The sequence below is a fragment of the Homo sapiens genome, chromosome 2 (genome assembly GCF_000001405.40).
Source record: "Homo sapiens chromosome 2, GRCh38.p14 Primary Assembly".
Taxonomy (NCBI): Eukaryota; Metazoa; Chordata; class Mammalia; order Primates; family Hominidae; genus Homo; species Homo sapiens.
In genome coordinates, this window is record NC_000002.12 from 85,757,235 (window position 1) to 85,777,304 (window position 20,070).

Genomic DNA, 20,070 nt, shown 5'->3' on the forward strand with positions numbered 1-20,070 from the left:
TGGTCATAGAACCAGGGGCCAAGGCCACACCCACCATGTCCTCCTCACCACCATGGCACCCATTCGATAGAGGAAGTCCTGTGTTCTGGAGGAGCCCCTTCCTCCTCTGGGCCTCAGTCTTCTCTGTAAAATGTACTCCGCACCCCCTCCCCGAATCCAGACGAGCTGCAGCTCTGGAGCTAGGCTCGGGCCTGACTGAAATGGGTCCTTGGAAATGGACAAAAGGCAGATCAGCTCCGCCTGAAATGGGGCCTTGGCCAGTGTGGCACTGAGATGGGTTCTGGGATTGTGGCTCTGGCCTGGGGCTTCATTCTCCTGAGCAGCTTCCTGGTACCATGAAAGAAGCACTGATCTGGGAAACTGGAGGCCAGGCATTGAGTTGTTCCTCCCCTGCATGCCTTCTGTGTGGCTGTGGACAAGTCACTGACCCTTTCTGGGCCTCAGTTGCTGAAGTTGTAAAATGGTAATATTGCTGACCTCATCCAGTGTTGAGAAGAGAAAGTGAGGAAAGGTAGGAGGCCTATAAGAGCAGTGAACATTTCTTTCATTTCATTTTTTTTTTTTTTTTTGAGACAGAGTCTCTTTCTGTTGACCAGGCTGGAGTACAGTGGTGTGATCTCAGCTCACTGCAAACTCCACCTCCCAGGTTCAAGTGATTCTTCTGCCTCAGCCTCCCGAGTAGCTGGGATTACAGGTGCGCACCACCACACCTGGGTAATTTTTTGTATTTTAGTAGGGATGGGGGTTTCACCATGTTGCCCAGGCTGGCCTCGAACTCCTGGGCTGAGGTGATCCACCCACCTCTGTCTCCCAAAGTGCTAGGATTACGGGCATGAGCCACTGTGCACAGCCAGAGCACTGAACATTTCTTAAGCATCTCCAAGGTCCTCAGGGCTGGGCAAGGCTCTCGACAGATGAAGCAATAAGAATTCTTTAATTGTTTTAATAACTGTCACAGAAATTAGCATTCATCACATGCTTACTTTGTGCCAGGCATGGTGCTAAGCTTGTTATGTGTATTAGTTCATTTAATGAAATAGATATTATTGCACCCCCTGCCCTGTTTCACAGATGGTGACACTGAGTTTCAGAGAGCTTATGTAAGTTGTCCCGGTCTTTTGCCACTGCACGTGGCCTTGTGGGTTTTGTGCTACATGCTACCTTGGCACGCAGTTTGCCAGCCTCCAGGGTGGCGGTGCCTCGTGGTCATGTACAGTGGCAGCCTGCGTAGCTGTGTGCCGCTGTTGCTGCGGAGCTTGGGTTGGGCTCCCAGGGCCCAGACTCCTAACAGCTCTGCTCCTCAGCCTGTCTAATGTCCTGGAGCCATCTACCCTCAGCATGAGGAAGCCAGACAGGCTCCCATTGTGTCATAATCCACTGTCCTCTCAACCAGGAAGGGAGCAGGGAGGGTGGCTGCAGGGCCGCAGGTGGGGAGGTGCAGGTGGGAGAGAGGCCCTCTGGTCTGGTCTGGTCTGGGCTGGGTGGTGCAGGGCAGATGGTCAGGCCCCAGCACATGCCACCAGCGCAGCTGCACCAGAGCCCTCCCTGCCGCCTCATGTGAAGGCCATGTGTGCACAGCTGGCCTGGCCCCGGGAGTGGGGCTGCTCCCTGCCAGGTGGGAGGGGTCAAAGGGAAAGGCTGGCCTTGAGGGGTGGTGAGGGAAGGGGCCAGAGTGGCAGGACCTTCTGTCTCACAAGCTGTGCCCACCCTTGGGGCATGTGGTGTGCGTGTGGATTTCCTCTCTCCCTTCAGGGTCCCTCAGGGTTGATGGAGGATGGCAGCAATGGAAGACAGTGCGGGGCCCCGGCTTCTGCCGTGGTCCTCTCTACGGAGGACATGCCAAGCACCTGGGGCCCGGGCTACCTCCCCTGCTGCCCCTGGAGCTTCCCAGGGGGTCTTCACCGAGTGAACTCAGGGTGGCCCTGGAGAGGGCGTGGGAATGGTGCCCTCAGCACCTCCCTCACTCTGAAACCCCACAGGGTGCAAGGAGGGCATAGGGAGTGCAAAGCAGCCTGTACACCATCCTCTCGGGCAACGAGGGACAGGCCTGCTTGCACTGGGGGCTCCATGCAGGTAGGTAAGGGTGACAGAGGCCTTCCTCCTGTTCCATCATGTCCAAAGTCACCAGGGTGGCTGCCGTGGAGCCTCACTGCACTGAGTGAGGCCTTACCTGAGCCTGCTGTGGGATGTCCGTAGTGCTGTCTTCCCATTTTACAGATGAGGACACTTACAGAGAGGTGACGCAGATTGCTCAAGCCCACAGAGTGACCAGGATCTGTACTGTGGCCTGTCTGACCCTGGGGCTATAGCTCTTAACCACCAAGACCCAGGTTCTCAGGGTCCAGCCTGGTGGCAGTGCAGGAGGCTGGGATTTTAAAGAACCTATTTAGATAGACTTTGGGAAGGACATTGAACAGCTCTGGGTAGAGTGGATTCACGTCGGGAGTCCAGCACTCACTGACACGAGACGATCAGATGATAATTTCAGTGGAATCCGGTGCTCATCTGTGTGTAGTGGATGTGGTGCTGTTGGAGCTCTATGGGCCCAGGAGTCTTGGTGGGCTTCCAGGAGGGCGTCTTGGGCTGGGTCTGCAGGGTGGGCAGGAGTTGGCACAGAAGCAGGAGCATGGAGGGCTTTGAGGCCTTTGTTGCATTCTCTGGTGGGTTCTCGGAGTTGTTTCTTTAGGAAGTTTTCCCACATTTGCTCCTGCGATCTCATTCTGAGGTAGCAGGTGTTCTAATGCCCATTTTACTGGTGAGGAAACTGAGGTCCTGTAAGCTTGTGGACCTGCCTAAGGTCACATGGCTGGCCAGGAGTGGAGCCAGGCCCTCGGGCTCCCAGGCCAGTGCTCTTCATGTTTTTTCATGCTTGCTGGAACTGGGTCCAGCTTAGGGTGGGTGGGGTGGAATGTTTTGGGGGCATATGGGACCTTGCGAAAATGCCAAAGTCTGTTCCTCCAAAGTTTAAAAATCCTTGTGGGATGAGCACAAGGCAGATCCTTTTACTTTTCTGGAAGTTGGGCAGTCTGTCGGGAGTGGGAGCCAGGTAATTCTGCCTCCTCCTTTGGCCCGTGTCCTCTGACCAGGGTGAGCCGACAATGGCTGTGGGGGACTCTGTAGGCGGTGCGGGTGGGTGGGCTCTGGGCCTTGCTGTGGATACTCTAAGAGGGATCTCATGGCATCATCAGCCCAGAACTCTCCATCCCGAGCTCAGGAGGATGGGCTGCCTACCTCCTCACCTTAAACTATAGACACTTATTCAGATCCCCAAGCAGTTCATGCTGGAAAGAGCCCAGCTAAGCCACGAGTTCAAAACGCAGCTCTTCACTCACCAGTTGGGAGATCCAGGAAATTCCTACATGCCTGAGAATCACATGCTTTTCTGTAAAGTGGAAGTGACCATTTCTACCTCATTGGGCCACTTAAAAGATGAATACAGACATTGTATTTGAAACATCCACCCTCTGCCTGGCCTTATAGATCGTAATAACTGCAAGGTGGCCTGGGCCCAACAGTCACGGAGAATCTGTGCCGCTCAGACTCCGGTGGAAGCTGCTTGATGTAGTCCTTGAAGCTCTGTGAGCTGCCCAGGCATTGCTACTCCGACTTTCCAGATGAGGAAACGGAGGCTCTGAGGAGTGAAGGCACTTCCCAAAGTCACACCGCTTGTAAGTGCCTGGAATTCAGACGAGCTCTTTCCACCATACTTTGACGTCCTAGAACCAGAACGGGTGCTAAATTCTCACTTTGCAGTGGCAGCCCAGGCTGGGGTGCCTCTGAGCTGGGCTGTTGGGGGCTGAGGGGCTGCATCCGGGGGCATGGGCACCAGGAGGATCTGGAATTGGCCAGGTGGTAAGGAGCTGCCTCTAGGGGTCGGGGAGAAGGAGAGGGGAGCAACCTGAAAGATGCCTTTGGTGTCCCTTATGTGGCTACCTCCGGTGTGGTGGTGGGAGCTGGGAGAGCCTAGTGGCTATGTGCCTGGTGTCAGTCAGATGAGTTTCAGGCTCCAGCCGGGTCTTAGCTGAGTGATCTGGGGCCCAATATGTCACCTCTCTGTTTTTGTGTGTACAGATGGTGGGGAAGGTTTTAAATGGGCTAATACTACCTGTAAATAGCTACCACAGTGTCAGATATACAGGAGCTCAATGGATGGGTTTCTTCTTGTTAGATCTGGAGCTTGATAGAAACAATAGGGCAAGGTGACATATCTAGGACAGAACTGGCCCAGAACCTGGCATGGGGGCCTCTAGATTGGCCTTGGCCTCAGCTGTCACTTTGTGGTCCTACAGTGACCCTGGATCACAGCGTACAGATCCCTTCCAAAATCCCTGCTCCCTCCTGGAAGCCCAGCTGTTACGGGCCATGGGCTCAAAGAGCTGGGTCTTTAAGGGAAACTCCTGGTGTGGCCTCTGTGTGAAAACAGTGCTGAGGGCTGTGTCACAGAGCTGCACCCAGTCCCCAGAGTCTCCCTCAGGCTGCCACACCCTCCCTGGGGTGAAGAGGAGGCAGAAGTGCTAGCTGGCCCCTGAGACCCCCTTCCCTGCCCCAGGACTACCAGACCTTGTTTATTTGTTCAGGTTGATAAAGCAGGATTCCCTGGACTCTGGCTGGGAACGAGCAAAGTGCATTGTTCTGCCAGCATTTCTGGGATGGGTTTGGAGCTGCAGCCAGGGCTGGGAGTGGGAGATGGGGTGAGGGATGGAAATGCATGGGAGCTGGCTTTCTCTGTTGCCTTCTTCTCCCTCTCTGGGTTTCCTAGTCTCAGCACCCCCAGAGGGTGGAGGGTAGGGCAGGCACGTGTCCTGGCTCCAGACCTCTGGCTTCTCACCTCCTCTGGAGCCCCTCTTTGAGGACCTTCTGCAAGACCAACCATAATGCTTTCACAGACCTCTATCAGGCCTTACTCAATGCAATGCACACATCATCTCATTTAATCCTTACCTCCTTGTGAGATCAGTCCTGTTCCCAATATGACAAGGAAACCGAGGCTCAGAAAGATTCTGTCTCTTGCCCAGAGCATTACAGCTAGACAAAGCTAGAGCCAGGAGTTGAATCCACGTGACAAAAAGATACGCTTAGCTTTATGCCAGATAGCTTCATCTTCATCATCAGAGAGAGGAAAGGTGTTTGAGCCCAGTTCAAAATATTCTAGAGTGAAGATCCAGAGGGAGAGATCATTCATTTGTTCACTCATTGCCTTAATCAACAAACCCTTTTGAGGGCCTGTTATGGGCAGGACCTGTGCTAGGCACTGCAGACATAGGCCTTCCCCCCACAGTTCATAGGGAGACTGAGCACTAAAGAGCCACAGTATGGGCAGTTAAGGACAGACGGGGTGCTATTAGGGCCCTATTAAGGGCAAGCTGTCCCTCCTGGTGTAGGGTAGGGGAGGTCAGGGAAAGTTCTTGGACACAGTGAGGTTTAAAGTGAGATCAAAGTGGGCGATGTGTTTAGGGTCCCCAGTCTGGGGTGACTGTTCATGCTTTTTCTCCATGCTCTGGAATAGGGATTTCCATCCTTGGCACTATCGACATTTGGGGGCAGGTAGTTCTCTGTTGTGGGGGCACTGTAGGATCCTGTGCTCTGTAGGATGTTTAGCTACGTGCCCACCTCCGTCCCTGCAATGCCCCCACTCCCCTGTCCCTAGGGGACAAAATCATCCCTGGTTGAGAATCACTGGCCTGAAAGAATGCCTGGCATATGGTGGGCGCTCACTAAATACTTGTGTGGATGCATCGTGCCGTCCCACCCCCTGTGGGATACGAGTTCATCAATGATATGGATGCCACGTGTAGATCCTCAAGAGCCATAGCGAGGAGTAAACCAGGAGCCATCGTTGCTGGATTGTTAGCCCTTTAGGTGAACAGTACATCATAGGAACAGTGGGGTCTATTAGCACCTATCAGGTTGATTTTGTGGAGCTATTTCCAGGTTCCAAGACAGAACTCTGTTCAAGTGTACCACAGTCTTTGGAACTTTTTGCTCATGCAGCACAAATATTGGTGGAGAGACATATTAAAAATTAAAGGCTCCATCTTTCACCCCATACAAATCCCTGTGCAATTAGTGAGGAGCTAGTTGGTGATGAATCATTGACAAACGTGTCAAGTTTGTTCAGTGCCGTGTGTATTACGCCACTGTTGTCTGCCCAGCAGCACCCCAAGTCCTGAGGGCACAGAGTAAAAGATTTTTAAAAAATGAAAACCAGCCATGTTTGTGTCTTTCCAGCTGAGCACTGACACTTTCCTTCCTGTATGTCCCCAGAGTCCCAGGTGTGACATTATAACCTCACTCGAGTGTAAGTTCTCTAAAGTAGGAATCAAGTCATTCATTGTTGCACTCCCCAAGTGCCCAGCAAAACAAGTGTTGCTGAATGAATGAATGGAACATCAGAGCTGAAAAAACAAAATGCCTCTCAGGAATCTCAGAGAGATTCCTCCTCAAGAGGGTGGAGGACAGAGCTCTGTAGTGGTCGTGGAAATTCACTGAACTTAGATTCAGACTGACTGGATGGTGGGCATAAGCCAAACCTGTTTCTTCCCCTGCAAAATGGGAATGTGGGTATATCTCAGAGCAGATGAGCTGACGTGTGTGTGTGTGTGTGTGTGTGTGTGTGTGTGTGTAAACAGCAGGTGCGTAGAGCAGATCATAAGATTAGGGTGGAGGGCTCAGATATACCATAGACAGGCCGTCTCCCATGCCTGCCAGGCTGGGCACTGCGCCCCTGCAGCCCCTCCTGACGCCTTCTCCCCTCAGGTGCCGTGCTACTCATATGGGCAGAAGCTGTCCAAACTGGCCATCCTGAGGATCGCCTGTAACTACATCCTGTCCCTGGCGCGGCTGGCTGACCTTGACTACAGTGCCGACCACAGCAACCTCAGCTTCTCCGAGTGTGTGCAGCGCTGCACCCGCACCCTGCAGGCCGAGGGACGTGCCAAGAAGCGCAAGGTATGCACCAGCTGGGTGGGCGGTAGCTTCTGGGGAGCATAGGGGAGGCAGGGACAGGAACTTGGGGGTGCCCTGCCTATGCCCAGAATTCTGAAGGGGCCAGAGAGATCAGCTCTTGGAGGTTTGCTGGGAGTTGCCTCAGCTTCAGTGCTCCTCAAATCCCTGGGATTATAGGTGTGTCTCTACTTCTGGTAACCGGCTGCTGGGTGACCTCGAACAGTCACCCAGGGTCTCTGGGCCCCGGTTTGCTCCTCACTTAAATGAAGAGGACCATTTATCTCTAAATCCCCTTCCTGGCCTTAGGTGCTCTGGTGCTGAATTCCTTGGGTGGCCTCTGATAGATGTCATACCAGGACAAGATTCCCCTGAGCAGGGTGACAGCCCAGGAGAGCCCTTTGGCAGGTTTTGGGAGGGTGACTTGGCCTGTGGGTTATCTGAGGCTATGCATTAAGGGCGGTGATGGTCATTCATTCATTCATTCTGGAGAGACTGATGAAGCTCCAACCATGTGCTGAGCATACTGGGCAGGGGTATAAAGATGACAAACATATGGTCCTGGTCCCCAGGCAGCTCATAGGAGGGTCAGGGAGACCCTCTTGTAAGTAGATGAGGGCAGGAGCCCTGTGCTAGGGGCAGTGGAAGGCCAGGTAGAAGAGAGACAGATTCACTCCCTGCCCACGGGAGTTTGAAAGGGCATCTTAGTGTAAGTGGTGTTTAAGCTGGGACCAGCAGGACCACCAGGTCACCAGGCAGATGAAGGAGGGAACAGCATCTGAGGCAGAGGGAACAGCTTGTACGAAGCCTGATGTGGCTGGGGAAATGCATTTAGTGGGAAAGGTGTTGGGCACAGCTATAGGTCCCCAGGTGGCCAAAGCTCTGGGCATTCCCAGTCAGGGGTCAGTGCTGAGCAAGGCTTAGTGCAGCCCTCCGGATCTCTGTTACCACGTGGCTTCAGGGAGAGCAACAGAGAGTGGGATCCAGTCTACATCTGTGAGGCAAGAGGCCTGTCCCTGCCTAGGGCAGGGGGCGGACCCTGTCATCCTCCATCCATTCTTTCCGCTGCCTCCTTCCTTCCTGGCCTGCCCCTCCCCCATCCCTGACATTCCTTTCCAGACCCCTTTCCAGCAGGCCCCTCTGTGGGTTCTCCGGGTTTCCCGGAGGTCCCCCACGGACTCCAGACTCATGCCAGGGAGGGTCACGACACCTTCTCAGGGCTCCCCGCTGCCGCTGCCACGGTAACTGCACGTTGCATTCCTGGGAGTGCTTTAACGTGGACCAATTAGACAAAATCCTCATCAAGTGGGTGAGAGAGGAAGCGCCACTGGCGGCTCTGGGCAGCTTTCCTCTGGAAAGTGACACTGGTAAATTAGGGCGTGATTGATGGCTCCCGCGGCGCTCGGTGACAAAGGAGGTTTGTAAACTCTCGGTGAACTTCCCCTGGCATTCAGGCGGTCCGGAGGTGTAGATGGGCAGAGTGGGCAGGCGCCCCGTCTCCATCTCAGCCCCTCACTGCCCTACCCCCGCACCCTCCTCTTCACCCAGGGAAGGCAGAAGCCAGCGTGGAGGTCCCGCCTTCCCGGGTTCTTTGAATGGAGCAGGGTCTTGGGCTGGGAGGAGGCTGGATGCCTGGCTGGTGAGGAAGGAGGGACAAGTTGGGTGGAGAGGCCCGACAGAGCCGAGCTTTTGGCTTCCCCTGAAATCACCTCAAATCTAACACATCTTAGACACCCTCTGGGCCTGGTCCAACCTTCCCATTGTGGAGTCTGGGACTTTACCTGAGGCTACAGATTGTGGTTAAGAGCATAGCACAGCCCCGAGTTCAAGCCCTGGCTCACCACTCACCAGCTGTGTTATCCTGCACCCATTGCTTAGCCTCCTCCGCCTCAGTTTTCTTGTTGATAAGTGGGGACGGTGGAAATACTCACTCATGGGCCACCGTGAAGATGAAAGGAGTTACTGCAGGAGAGCGTGTGGTGTCTGCATGGTCACCGTCCTCAGGGTAATGATAATGAGCCCCTAAAATGCTTGAGCTCTGAACTTGAGGCTTATCCTATGGGGCTTACTTATGTGGTGAAATTGCCCTGGAGAGGGATTTTGGGGGTCGAGATGGAAGTTCCAGGGTAGGAACTCGACTGTTTCCTCTCCACCCTCCCTCCCCCACACCCAGCCCGGGCCTGAGGGCACTTCCTGCCTCCTGCCCTCAGTCTTTCCCAGCTGGGTGAGGAGGTCACCCAGCTGGGACTCTGGGAGGTGGGGTCTGTATGTCTTTGCCCTAATGACCTTCATGGTCTCGCAGACTCACATCATATGTGTGGTGACACATTTCTCATATGAAACCACTCAGGAAGCCCTGGCTGGCCCTGCGTCTCCCCATGGGGGCCGGTGTTCATAATTCCAGCCCTTCCCATACCAGCCCCTTCCATAGTTTTATCTGGACGACCAGGATTTGACACGGCAGCCTTTGCAAGTGTGGGCATCTCAAGCAGCCAGATTCCTTTCCAGCTCAGGACCCCTGGAGTCGCTGGAGCCTTCGAGCTCCCAGGCAGCCCTTCCAGGCAGGCCCCTGTGTCCCGCTTCTGGGCACCTATGCTTTTGCGGTCATAATTGCTAGCTGTCACCCTCCATCTGTCTGTCTACCTGTCTTTCTCTCTGAGTCTGGCTCACACTGTTCCCCTCTTTATCCGCTCTCTTGGTGGGGATGTGTGGCCCCACACTGAAGCCCAGCATAGCTGGCCTTAGCTGGTCCCCTCGGCAGATGTCCTGCCCCAGAGTGGACTCATGGGCCCTGACACCGAGGGGGCCTGAAGCCCCAGGGGAGGGTACTTCCCTGCCTCCTGGGGCCCCTTGTCCTTCCCTTTTTTTGGGGGGCTTGAGATGGCATTGAATGAGGAGCCCATCTTTAGATGTGTCCTGGCTTTCGAGTTGCAATTGGAACCTCACCGGTTTTATTTTCTTCGTTTTGTGCCTCCCAGCCTGGGACTCCTGAGGCCCCACCTCCATTTACAGAGATTCTGTTTGGGGAATCAACCCCCAGGACAATTGAACCAACAAATATTCTTTCCTCATGTCTAGGATTATTTCTGTGAAAAGACTTGCAAAGGTCTACCAGTAGATTGCACGTGGTTATGAGTTTTTGGGAAGAGGTGACTGAGAGCATGCACTGCTCACAGCGCTCAGTCCTGCCACACCACAGCCTGGGAGCCAGGCAGGGGCCAGGGGAAGCCCAGGAACTTATAACAGGTGCTGGGAGGAAGAGCCCCTCTTCCCCACCGTTCACCCTCTTCAGCAGTTGTCTACCCCCGCTCAACAGGACATGTGACTACTGTAGGGGTCCCCAAGCAAGAGATGGGAATCTCAAAGTGCTTCTTGGTATTCCCTCTTCCCCTCCCCTCCCCTCTCCTTCCCTTCCCTTCCATGAACAGCTATTGAGTACCCTCTATGTACCTGACACAGTGCAGGTACAAAATAATTTACCACATAGTCCCCACCATCATGCAGCGACTGAACACTTCTTGGTCTAGAGGATTTGGGAACCAGGAGTGGTTAGGGTGAGAAAAAGGAAAAAGCAAACCAAAGAATTTCTGCTTCTAACACAAATTTCTAGCCATCAGGGGCCATCAGGAAGCTGTGGACTGTGGAGGGGACCCAGGAGGGCTGGAGAGATTGCCCAGAGTCCTGCAGGGGCACAGGAGGGCAGGAGAGGGGTGAGAACTAGAGCCTTCCATCCAGACCTGCTTTGCCCTCTCTGGGTCAGGAGGTGGGTTCATGGGTTGGAGTCCCCACCACACAGGGTCTGGATTAGCACACAGTCCCTGGGCCACCACCCTGGGGCTTGCCTCTTGGCGTCACCTTGGAGATGGCCCTGGGACAGGAGCGTGGGCCCAGTTTGAGTCTGAATGATATTACGAGTGTGTAGTTTCTCTGTGAGGCCCCTCCACCTGACTTCAGGCCACTGTCCCTCTCACGACCACTCAGGGTTGCTGGAGTCCATTGCTGTTCCTCTCTGGAAAATGAGATGACCACCTAAGGCCTACTTGCTTCCCAGCCCTTCCTACCCCAATGAGCCACGCTTGCCGCTCCATGTGCTGTGGCTGTGGAAGCCTGCCTGGTAAAGGAATTCCTGACAAGGTGCATGGTGGCCCATAGCTTCACAGTCACCCTCCTGGCAACTCAGTTGCATGTTAGCTGGGGTTTAAAGCCTTAGGGTAGAGGACTGCTGACAGGCCTGTCAGGCAGGGTTGCAGAAGCCTGGGAGCAAAAATCTGGACCAAAGGCTGTGAGGCCGCAAGCAGATGCCTGCTGTAGCAGCTGTGATGGCAGTGGTCATCGCTGGTGTGATTGGCGGCCATTTGAACTGTCCCATGCAGGGACTGCTTCCCTCAGAGCTACTGTGTCCAAAAGAGGCTGGGCGACCCTCCTTCAAGATGCCCACTTGGGAGGTTGAGCTCAGTGTCCTCTGAGGTCCCTCGCACCCCGAGGAGCTGCACTGTGGGTCCAGGTCAGCATTAAGAATGAGATTTAAAGGGCACTCAGCTCCCCCTCCAAGCCCAGGTGCATCCTTCCGCCCATCTCAGCCCTCCTCGGCAGGGGGTGGGGAACCTGCATTCCTTGGCCAGTGAATCCTCCCCTTCTGGGCCTCACAGATCATGACTTTGAGGATTTGGAGCCCCATTTGGAAGCCCCAGTAGTGCAGAGGCCCATGTCAGAGGCCGCCCAGCAGAGAGACGGGCGGGAGGCCTGGAAGGACTCTGGGGAGTTCAGTTCTGACTCCGGCTGCAGCCGGAGATAATGCACGTTAAGCACCTGGCTCTGGGCCACTTTTCCACAGCTCCTGTTTTTAAAGCAGCAACTCCTGGGAGCTTCTGAGGAGGAGGAGGGGAAAGAGGAAGACAAGGAGGAGGCAGAACTGTTCTTCCACACCTGGGCTGGGTGGGCCACCCCCAGATCTATGGAATAGGAAAGCACTGATTTTGCACAAACCAGGGCATTGTCTTCTAATGATTTTAAGCCATCAGGTAGTATAATACTAACTACAACAACAGCTACTCAAATTGATAGCATGTTTTGAGCCCTGGCAATAAATGGCCAGTAAGTTCCTGCCCTCAAGTTGCTCAAAGGCCCTGGTTTTGCATGGGAGACAAGACGAACCAGAAAGTGCTGAGTTGAGGGCTGTACCAGAGGCTTAGCCAGCAAGCTAGACCCCCCCGGGTGGTGTGCCTGCAGCCGTGTGCCAGTGCTGGGAAGGCGGGGTCTGCAGGGCTGGGAGGTTTGCTCCTGGCCCTGTGGGTAATCTGAAGCCAGAGGTGGCAATTAAGCCAGTGCAGCTTCATGAGATCTGTGTCCTCCCTCTTTTCCTTGCTGCTTTCTGGGGACAGGAGGCAGGTCCTAGTATGGCCTGGGTCCGCTTTGGAAGAACGTCTTGGGTGCAGACCCCGTAGCTTCGGTGCCAGGGACAAGATGAAGGCATATTGGATTTTGTCGGGTGAAGGGGGTTTGGTGTGAGCTGAGGGTGTGTAGGAGGGGCCCCCTTCTGTCTGGATAGCTGAGCCCAGGCCTCGGACAGGATCCCTGGGTGCCAGCCCCTTCTGTGGACTGTGGGAGGCGGAGTCTCCAGAGCCGCACCCTGCCTGGATTCAGTTCCACCTATGGCCCCTAGGGTGCCCACCAAGGGGCACTGTCCCAGCTTTGTTCCTACCTCCCATGTACATTGTCAGCCCTGCTGAGGCCTTGTCTCTGAAAAGTGAGGAGCTGTCATAAGTGATTTCTAAGGCCCTTGCCAAGCCCACCTAAATCCTCTTTCTGCTTTAATGACTGACCCCTGTGTTACTTCTCAGGGCATTTCACAGAGATTTGAAAGTCGCTCCTAGAGACTGTTGGGACCTCAGGGCGGTTTGCCCTGAGAATACTGGCGACATCTGATGTTCAGAGAGCGTGGATCATGTGCCAGGCATGTGCTTGGTGCTTCCCGGGTATCACCTCGTGGGCTCCTCTCACCAACCCTTGAGGTGGGGGACTGGTGTTGTCTGATGCACAGATGGTGAGTCCGGGGCTCCCTGAGCCCAAGGAACTTGCCTGAGATCACCTAACCACTAACAGAGGTGTGTGCCCCCAGCTCCTACTGCTTCCCTGTCCTGCTTCTCACATGGGAGTGGGGTTGAGGGGAGGTTGGTGGCTCACATATCCAACCCCCTCCCGGCCCAGTTATTAAGTTAAATACCATCTGCTTTCAAAGCCCAAGGAGGCCATCTATGCTGGGGAAAAGGGGGGTGGGTGGGAAACCACCATCAAATTCCCAACTAGCCATAAAAATGGATGCAATTTATTTTTTCTGGCATTCCAATTACATAGACGTTTGTCGCCAGCTGTTTGTTCTAACACGGAGTGTTCTCTCAGCTGCCGTTTCTCTTCTCCCATTTGACACTGTTAGGCCACAAGTCTGGCAGGGCCTGGGCTGGAGGGGTCATTGGCTGGGGAGCCTCCCAGGTGAGCTGAGCTGGCTTTCCCTGAACGTGGACCGTGCCTCTGAGGTTCCCCGGGTGGTCTCGAGGCGAGGCGCAGGGAAAGGCTGGGGTGCCGCTTCCTCCCTCTTTTCACACTCTCTGCCCCTTTCCTCCTCCTCTCTCTTTTTCCAAATTGCTCCCCACCCTCAACATGCGCTCCCAGACCCCACCCTTCTCCCCAACACACTGAGAATGAATGAAAACTCAGGATCTCTGACCTAGGGAGAAAAACCAGCTCTTCCTGCTCAGAAGGTCTCTGAGACGTGGGAAGTCCCCTCTGATGCCCTAACTGACCACACTGGGGAATGCAGAGAACCCCCTGGGGCACCTCTGAGCCAAGATTCCCCTCTGGAAGCCCCTGTGGAGGCTCAGTGGCTCTCGGGACGCTGGAGAAGGGGTGTCTGTGTAGGGTGGGGGCTAACCCCAGAGAACGCTGTGGTTCTTTCTGGTGCTCTGTAGTGCTATCATTTAAGGCACAGGAACGCACGCTATGGCGGCCCTCAGCAAAACTGTGAAGTAGGCAAAGTGCAGAGTTCTGGGGCTGGAGACCTGGATTTGAGTCCTGGCACTGTCACTCTCGCTCTGTGGCCTTGGGCATGTTATTTGACCTCTCTGATCCCCAGTCCTCTCATCTGTAAAGTGAAAGCACACAAATCTGCCTTGCTGCCTTGCTGAAAGGATTAAACAAGACCCCATATGAGAAAGGGCTGGTGTTCCCGGTGAGTGCCAGAGAGGAAATCTCATGAATTTATAGCTACAAGGTAACAACTTAATTGGAACCCCGGGAAGGAACAGCTCAGAAAAGGGCAGTGCCAGGGTGGATGAATGACCGACCAGCCAAAAGGCAGATGGGGAAGGACCAACCTTTCTGAGTGAGAGATTCTTTCCCCTCTAGCACTTCAGCTCAAACCCCTGGTCCTGCACCCTTAGCATAGGGTGCAGCCTGCAGCCCATCCAGAAATCCTCGGATGTCAAAGTAGAGGGAGTCATACCAAGAAACATGCATAACATGTGGTCATATAATAATGCTAATCGGCACTGCAGCAGACCACTGCCACCACCAAGCACATCAACCATGTGGTGAGTGCCATTGTGTCCCCTTATGGGCATCCCACTCACATTATCTCTACCCCGTGTTATACTAACCCCAAAGTTGGGACCACTTCCCTCATTGCACAGATGGAAGACTGAGGCCAGGAGAAGGGCGTAACTTGCCTGGGGCCACATGGCCAGGAAGTGGCAGAGCTCAGTTTCCAACCTGTTTTATCTCTTTGGTTCTGAGTTCTGAGCTCTTCAGTCCTGAGGCCAGCCCGCTGCCTGAAGCTCGCACACTGCCCAGCACAGTGGCCTGTGCCCAGGAGGCCCCCAGCAAGTGCCTGGTGCCGTCCCTTGCCCAGAGCAACAGCTCTTATGTAAGCAGCCCGGCTGCAGCGCAGTGCAGGCTCCATTTAGCTGTGGGGAGCCAAGAGCCTGCTGGTGGTGGCCCTGGTGGTAGCGAGGGGTGGGTTGGGCAGGGAGGTGTCATCAGCTGCGGGCACCCCCAGCTTTGTGCCGCCGGCGAGGACTGACACCAGGTTAAGTCGCCTGGCGGCCTTTGGCTGCAGCTGGGAGCGCGCCTGGTTCCCATTCGGGCGCTGTGGTTTTGATTAGCTGTTCTGCGAGGCGGGCCTGCTGGTGAGTCCATGGGAGCTCCGCTGGAACAGAGGGTCCCCCGCCCGGCCGCCGCGGCCCCCCCTCCTGGCAGCCCCAGACTCCAGATGTTCCGAGCGCTCGCTGGGAAGGCCTGCTGGCGCCACGGAGGGCAGAGGGCAGGGAAAGCACGCGAGCTGGAAGCCCAAGCACTCAGTCACCACAGGCCTTGGCAGCCCGCCCGGCCCTCTGCTGGCACATTCCCCAGCTCTCCCCTGGCCATCTGTTCCCAAAAAACCCTTTCAGAGCCTCATCATCACTCAGGATACAACAGCGCGAGCAGCTGGTTTGGAGGCAGCAGGGAAAACCGTGCAAAAGGTTCTTTGTGAGAGAGGAAACTCGCTTATGAATAACAGGACTGGACGCCGTAAAAGTTGGCGGCTGGAATTCTTGTTTCTCAGGCGCCGCTGTTTTCTCTTGACTTTTTATCTCTGGTTTTTATTTTTTTCCCGTTTTCTTTTAATGTTGTTTCTTCCTCTTCTCACATCAGTTGTGACTTTTCTTCCTCCTCTGCGAGCCCGAAGGCCACCTCATTAGTGCTCCTGACACTGCGGAACTTTTCTTTCTCAAGGCTGTTGTCACTGGGGATGGTTGAAAGTGACTATTTTCCTAAGAAAACAGCTGGAGGGGACATGGGAGCAAGAAGGTGCTTGGGAGCGCATCTCAGTGTTGAGGCTCAAAACAGGCAGCGCCATGGCAGAGTCATTCCGCCGTCACCCTGAATAAACCCCATGCACACAGACGAGAACAATGTCTCCTCAGAGGGAGGGTCTGGGAGACCGGACACCATGCAGAGACCCCCATCAGCTCATCAGAGAGCTTCACGGAGATGTTCTGGGAGGACAATCACATTCATAAATACGCCGGTGCCTCGGCTCTGCCGCTGACTGCAGCATGACATGAAGCCTTTTTTAAGAACTGGCTGCTGCCGCCAAAGCCTTCTGGGATATGTCTGCCTGGAACCTGGGCACCTCCTGGGAGCAGTCACTGGGTGGCCTGTCAGGGGCTGTGGGGTCCTGGGGCAGGGCCGGCAACTGGAAGCCAGCCCTGGGGAGGAAAGGAGAGAAGGGCAAGGCTGGGCTGCTTTCCTCACAGCCCCTGGACACTGAGGGAGGAGCTGAGTTGGGCCTGGGGCTGCCATGTGTCAGACAGTGGTGATGTGATGGGGGGACACAGGTCAGTGGCAGGGTACTGGGAGTTTCCCCTTTCCTTTCTCAGTTCTTTGCACCCATTTTCCATGGGCTGCCTCCCCAGATCCAGAAGCCCCAGCAGCCCCTCACCCCAGCAGTGGAAAAAGCCCGTCATTGACACGGCTGTGGGTGGCCGGCTTTGCAAAAGCCTCACATTTGGGGCTTTGGAGGGCTTTTTGCATTTCATCTTTACACAGGCTCCTGCACCTCATTCCTCTTGCCCTCCTCTCAGCTTTCCTCCCACTTCCAGTTAGAGAGATGGCAGCTCTGGCAGGACCAAATATTGATGTTTATCACAGTTTTAGGGCCATTTGTCTCACCATCTGAAGGGCTCAGCGCAGGCCCACGGGATCCTCTCTCCTTGAGTGACCTCTGGGGGCAGGTATCTGGTTTGGATGCTGGAGCTGGTCCCTACTCTTCCCTTGGGGGCCGTGCGGCCGGGTGCTCAAGTGTTTTAACCTCAGGACCCTGATTAGTTATCATGAAGCTACCCCACCAGCTCCTGGGTCTGTTCATGGATTAGTGGCATAAAGGACGTAATATTGTTTTGCAAAATCTGCTCTCCCTCCCATGTCTCCTGCCCAAGAAGTTGGTCTTCGTGGGGCCAAAGGCAAGGAGGACCCGAGGAAGGAAGAGGAACCACTGTCCCCAGCCCCTGGTATGGCATGGCGTCAGCCTAGTGACCAGAAATTGCTTTTGAACTCTGAGGCTTCCAGAGGACAAGAGGAAGAGGAGGACAGGGCTGCCCTGCCCACTGCTCAGCCTTGAGCCCTGCACCTGGCACAGTGCGAGGCCTCAGACAGGGTGTCAGCAGGCCCTGGCTCCCCACATCCCATCCTTAAACAGGCCATGCCCTTTCTACCTGCCCCAGCAGACCAGAAAGCAGTTTCCATGGGAAACAACAAACCTTCCTTGTGCTCCCAGGATAAGTGTTTCTAGAGGGTGAAGTCGGGAGCCATTCTCTCCTTTAACATCTTGCCACCTCTGCCCAGAATTCACAGCCACCGGCGCCTGTCTTAGCTGCCCTGGCTGTCAGCCCCACCAGAGCCCCTCCTGGCTGCTCTGCTGAAAGCTGGTCAGACTGCCTCACTCCATCCCCTACTTAGCTCCCCTAAGGCCTAGGGGGCTCCCTACAGGCCAAGGGATGAGGCCAGACTCAATAGAACACCTGATAGGCCCCCCAAGTGACCTGGCCCTGGCCGGTCACTCCCTATGTCCCAATTTACACCCCAGCAGCACAGAACTCCTTGCTCAAAGGGGCTATTTTTGGCCTCTGTGCTCATGCCATCCCTTCTGCCTGGAATGCCCTTCTCCACTGTCTGCCTGGCTAACTCCTGCTCATTCTGGAAGGCTCAGCTCCTCCTGAAAGCCCTCCCTGACCCCAACCCCAGCTCCTTCCTCAGGGTGTCGTAGCACAGGGATGCTTTTGGTCTAATTCAGGAGAGCATCATGTGATATGCTTTTAAAGTAATGAGTTAAAATGTTAGACAATATGAAACTCTATTATGTGATATATTAGATTTCATGTCATTACATTGTATTATATTATATTTTTAGGTGGTATGCTATGTGACATAGGATGCGATGTGATATTACATCCCATGACACTATGTTACACAGTGTTGGATTAAATGCCTGTGTCTCTGGCTAGACTGTGAGCCCCTTTCTCTTTGTGTCCTGTCTTCTGGCACATACTAGGGCCCCCAAATAATGACACACCATTCTTTCCACTAAAATCCACACTGCTAGGGCTGAATGTCCCTATGCTGATGGCAAGGGACATTCCCTTCTAGGGAAGGATTAACTAGGGGCTTTAGGACACAGCTAGGGAGATGCCCCTGGGCTCTCCTGTGCTCCAGTTGGGCTCATACCCTTGTTCCCTTGAATCTGCAAGGAAAGCACTGTGTTTCAAATAACAGAAACCCCTCAAGCAGCAGCTTAAACTAACAGGGGCTGGCATTTTTCATAGTTCAGAAATCAGCTGCTCCCTGGGATCCAAGAGTCCAGGCTTCTTTTGATCTTTGCCTCATGGCTGCAGAGTGGTTGCCACAGCACCGAGCTTTTCATCCTCAAGCTGCATCTACAGTCAGGGTAGGGGGCCATGCTAGGAAGAGTGTTTCTCCTCACCAGGGCAGTCAGTCTTGCCCAGACAGCCCCTCCCTTCCTCCAAAGGAAGATGCTCCCCTCGAACCCGAGAAAAACATCAAGGTCTGTCAGCTGGGAGGGCAACAGAGAAAACAGCCATGTGGCTCGTGTCTGGAGGGTTGACCCTGATTTGTGACAAGGTGGTTTTCTTCCTGGGGAGCTAACTGTTGTCATTACCTTAACCACAATGTCAGAGCCCCACTTCTTTGAGCTTGCCCAGTCCTCACCACAGCCCCACAAATTGGGTGTCACCAGCCCCATTTTCAGGTGACAGTGCTGAGGTTCACAGAACTGAAATGACCTGACTAGGCCCCCAGCGACCTCGTTCCTGTGCACTGCACTTTCCGGTTTGCAGAGCCCTCTCACACCCATGATTTTCTTGAATCCTAGAACAAGCTCCTGGGGTCCACATTATTAAACATGGGAGTGAGATGAGGCGAAGTCGCCCAGGCTCAAGCAGCTGGGCAGGGCTGGGTGGGGCTTGGACAGGCTGAATCCAGGCCACCGCTGTCCTCTGTCCTCTGTTCTCTCAAAGGTGAGGGTGTGAGCTTCAGGGGTTGCCTGGCGGCTTGGGGCCTGAGGCTTGGAGGCATGGTCTGAGTCTCAGCTCAACCACTCAGGAGCTCCGTAACCTCAGGCACTTGCCTTCAACAAGCTTCACTTTCCTCATAAAATATGGATAAAAGCAGGTGAGGAGCGTTTGAGGAAATGAGGGCTGTGAAAGCATTTTGTCAACTGGAGGCACAGCACTCAGAGAGGGTCACTGGAGGCCACTGCTGGCCCATCAGGAAGGTGGGCAGAGGGACTTCAGTGTCCCCTCCTCACGCAGTGACTTAGAGAATGTGCATGCATGCACACACGCAGGTGTGCTGGCGCGTCCGTAGGCACCGTCTGCTGGGGTCCGGTGGAGGGCCTCCTGCATGGTGGGCCGATTTCCCATGCACATGGGAAGGAGGTACTCCCTGGAAGGCGGCTGATTGACTTCAAGGATTTCAAAATTGCTCTACCTGCACAGGGCCCAGGAGCCATTAAAGATGGACCCTCAGTGGCAGGGCAGGGCAGGGCAGAGCCAGGCAGCTGGGCACATGTTGGGCAGCTCTGGGAGTGAGCCGTTTGGAGCCCACCTGGAATCTGGAGAGCCGTGACCGGGCATTGCTGAGAGCTGTCCATCCCCCTGTCAGCAGCTGTGCCTCCCGCCTCGCTTTCCTGCCAGCCCTGTTCCTGCCACCACCACGTACACACGAGTCCCTGCCACCACAGCCCACCCACCCCCTCCACACGCACACACAGGGGTTCTTCACTTGTTCAGTCTTTTTAGGTACCTGAGTGTTAAAAGATGAGTAAAACATGAAGGGCCCTGCCCTGCACATCTACTTAAGAATAAATCGCCCTGAGTGTTTACTCTGTGTCAGGTACTGTTCTAGTGCTGGGGGCATTTTGGAGAATAAAACAGAGGCCCCACCCTTCGGAACTCAGAGCTAAACTATAGAAAGGCTATGCATAAAAAATTCAGAGGAGGGCCCCTCGGTATGGTCTTTGGAGCCCACTGCACTTAGCCTGCATACAGTTCTTACGAGCTTGACTCTCAGGCCCCTCAG

General features: G+C 54.7%; 1 protein-coding gene across 7 annotated transcripts in view, besides 7 other annotated features; it reads left to right on the forward strand.

Moving 5' to 3' along the window:
- The window catches only part of ATOH8 (atonal bHLH transcription factor 8), a 37,393-nt gene that overhangs the window by 3,244 nt on the left and 14,079 nt on the right, over window positions 1-20,070 (forward strand). For 6 of the 7 annotated variants that reach the window (XR_939732.2, XR_939731.2, XR_939733.3 and 3 more), the window contains exon 2: window positions 6,757-6,948. Coding sequence is in view for 4 of the 7 variants with exons in the window: in XM_011533139.2 (XP_011531441.1) it covers window positions 6,757-6,948 (192 nt within the window). In the remaining 3 variants the exon portion in view is untranslated. Of the gene's footprint in view, window positions 1-6,756; window positions 6,949-15,627; window positions 17,978-20,070 lie in introns of those variants that run through there. The other variant, XM_047446094.1, reaches the window with a different exon arrangement.
- Window positions 7,749-8,332: an enhancer, noted in NCBI's record as "H3K27ac-H3K4me1 hESC enhancer chr2:85992106-85992689 (GRCh37/hg19 assembly coordinates)". NCBI's record gives its function as "activates a minimal SCP1, AML or CMV promoter by ChIP-STARR-seq in primed H9 embryonic stem cells {active_cell/tissue: H9 hESC(primed)}" and the evidence as "EXISTENCE:reporter gene assay evidence [ECO:0000049][PMID:30033119]".
- Window positions 8,333-8,915: an enhancer, noted in NCBI's record as "H3K27ac-H3K4me1 hESC enhancer chr2:85992690-85993272 (GRCh37/hg19 assembly coordinates)". NCBI's record gives its function as "activates a minimal SCP1, AML or CMV promoter by ChIP-STARR-seq in naive H9 embryonic stem cells {active_cell/tissue: H9 hESC(naive)}" and the evidence as "EXISTENCE:reporter gene assay evidence [ECO:0000049][PMID:30033119]".
- Window positions 8,916-9,498: an enhancer, noted in NCBI's record as "H3K27ac-H3K4me1 hESC enhancer chr2:85993273-85993855 (GRCh37/hg19 assembly coordinates)". NCBI's record gives its function as "activates a minimal SCP1, AML or CMV promoter by ChIP-STARR-seq in naive H9 embryonic stem cells {active_cell/tissue: H9 hESC(naive)}" and the evidence as "EXISTENCE:reporter gene assay evidence [ECO:0000049][PMID:30033119]".
- Window positions 12,472-12,766: a silencer, noted in NCBI's record as "tiled region #11465; K562 Repressive non-DNase unmatched - State 20:ReprD". NCBI's record gives its function as "represses a minimal TATA promoter and a strong SV40 promoter by Sharpr-MPRA in K562 cells {active_cell/tissue: K562}" and the evidence as "EXISTENCE:reporter gene assay evidence [ECO:0000049][PMID:27701403]".
- Window positions 13,110-16,648: an enhancer, noted in NCBI's record as "VISTA enhancer hs1652". NCBI's record gives its function as "enhancer in: other[6/8]" and the evidence as "EXISTENCE:transgenic organism evidence [ECO:0001131][PMID:17130149]".
- Window positions 19,001-19,501: an enhancer, noted in NCBI's record as "H3K4me1 hESC enhancer chr2:86003358-86003858 (GRCh37/hg19 assembly coordinates)". NCBI's record gives its function as "activates a minimal SCP1, AML or CMV promoter by ChIP-STARR-seq in primed H9 embryonic stem cells {active_cell/tissue: H9 hESC(primed)}" and the evidence as "EXISTENCE:reporter gene assay evidence [ECO:0000049][PMID:30033119]".
- Window positions 19,502-20,002: an enhancer, noted in NCBI's record as "H3K4me1 hESC enhancer chr2:86003859-86004359 (GRCh37/hg19 assembly coordinates)". NCBI's record gives its function as "activates a minimal SCP1, AML or CMV promoter by ChIP-STARR-seq in primed H9 embryonic stem cells {active_cell/tissue: H9 hESC(primed)}" and the evidence as "EXISTENCE:reporter gene assay evidence [ECO:0000049][PMID:30033119]".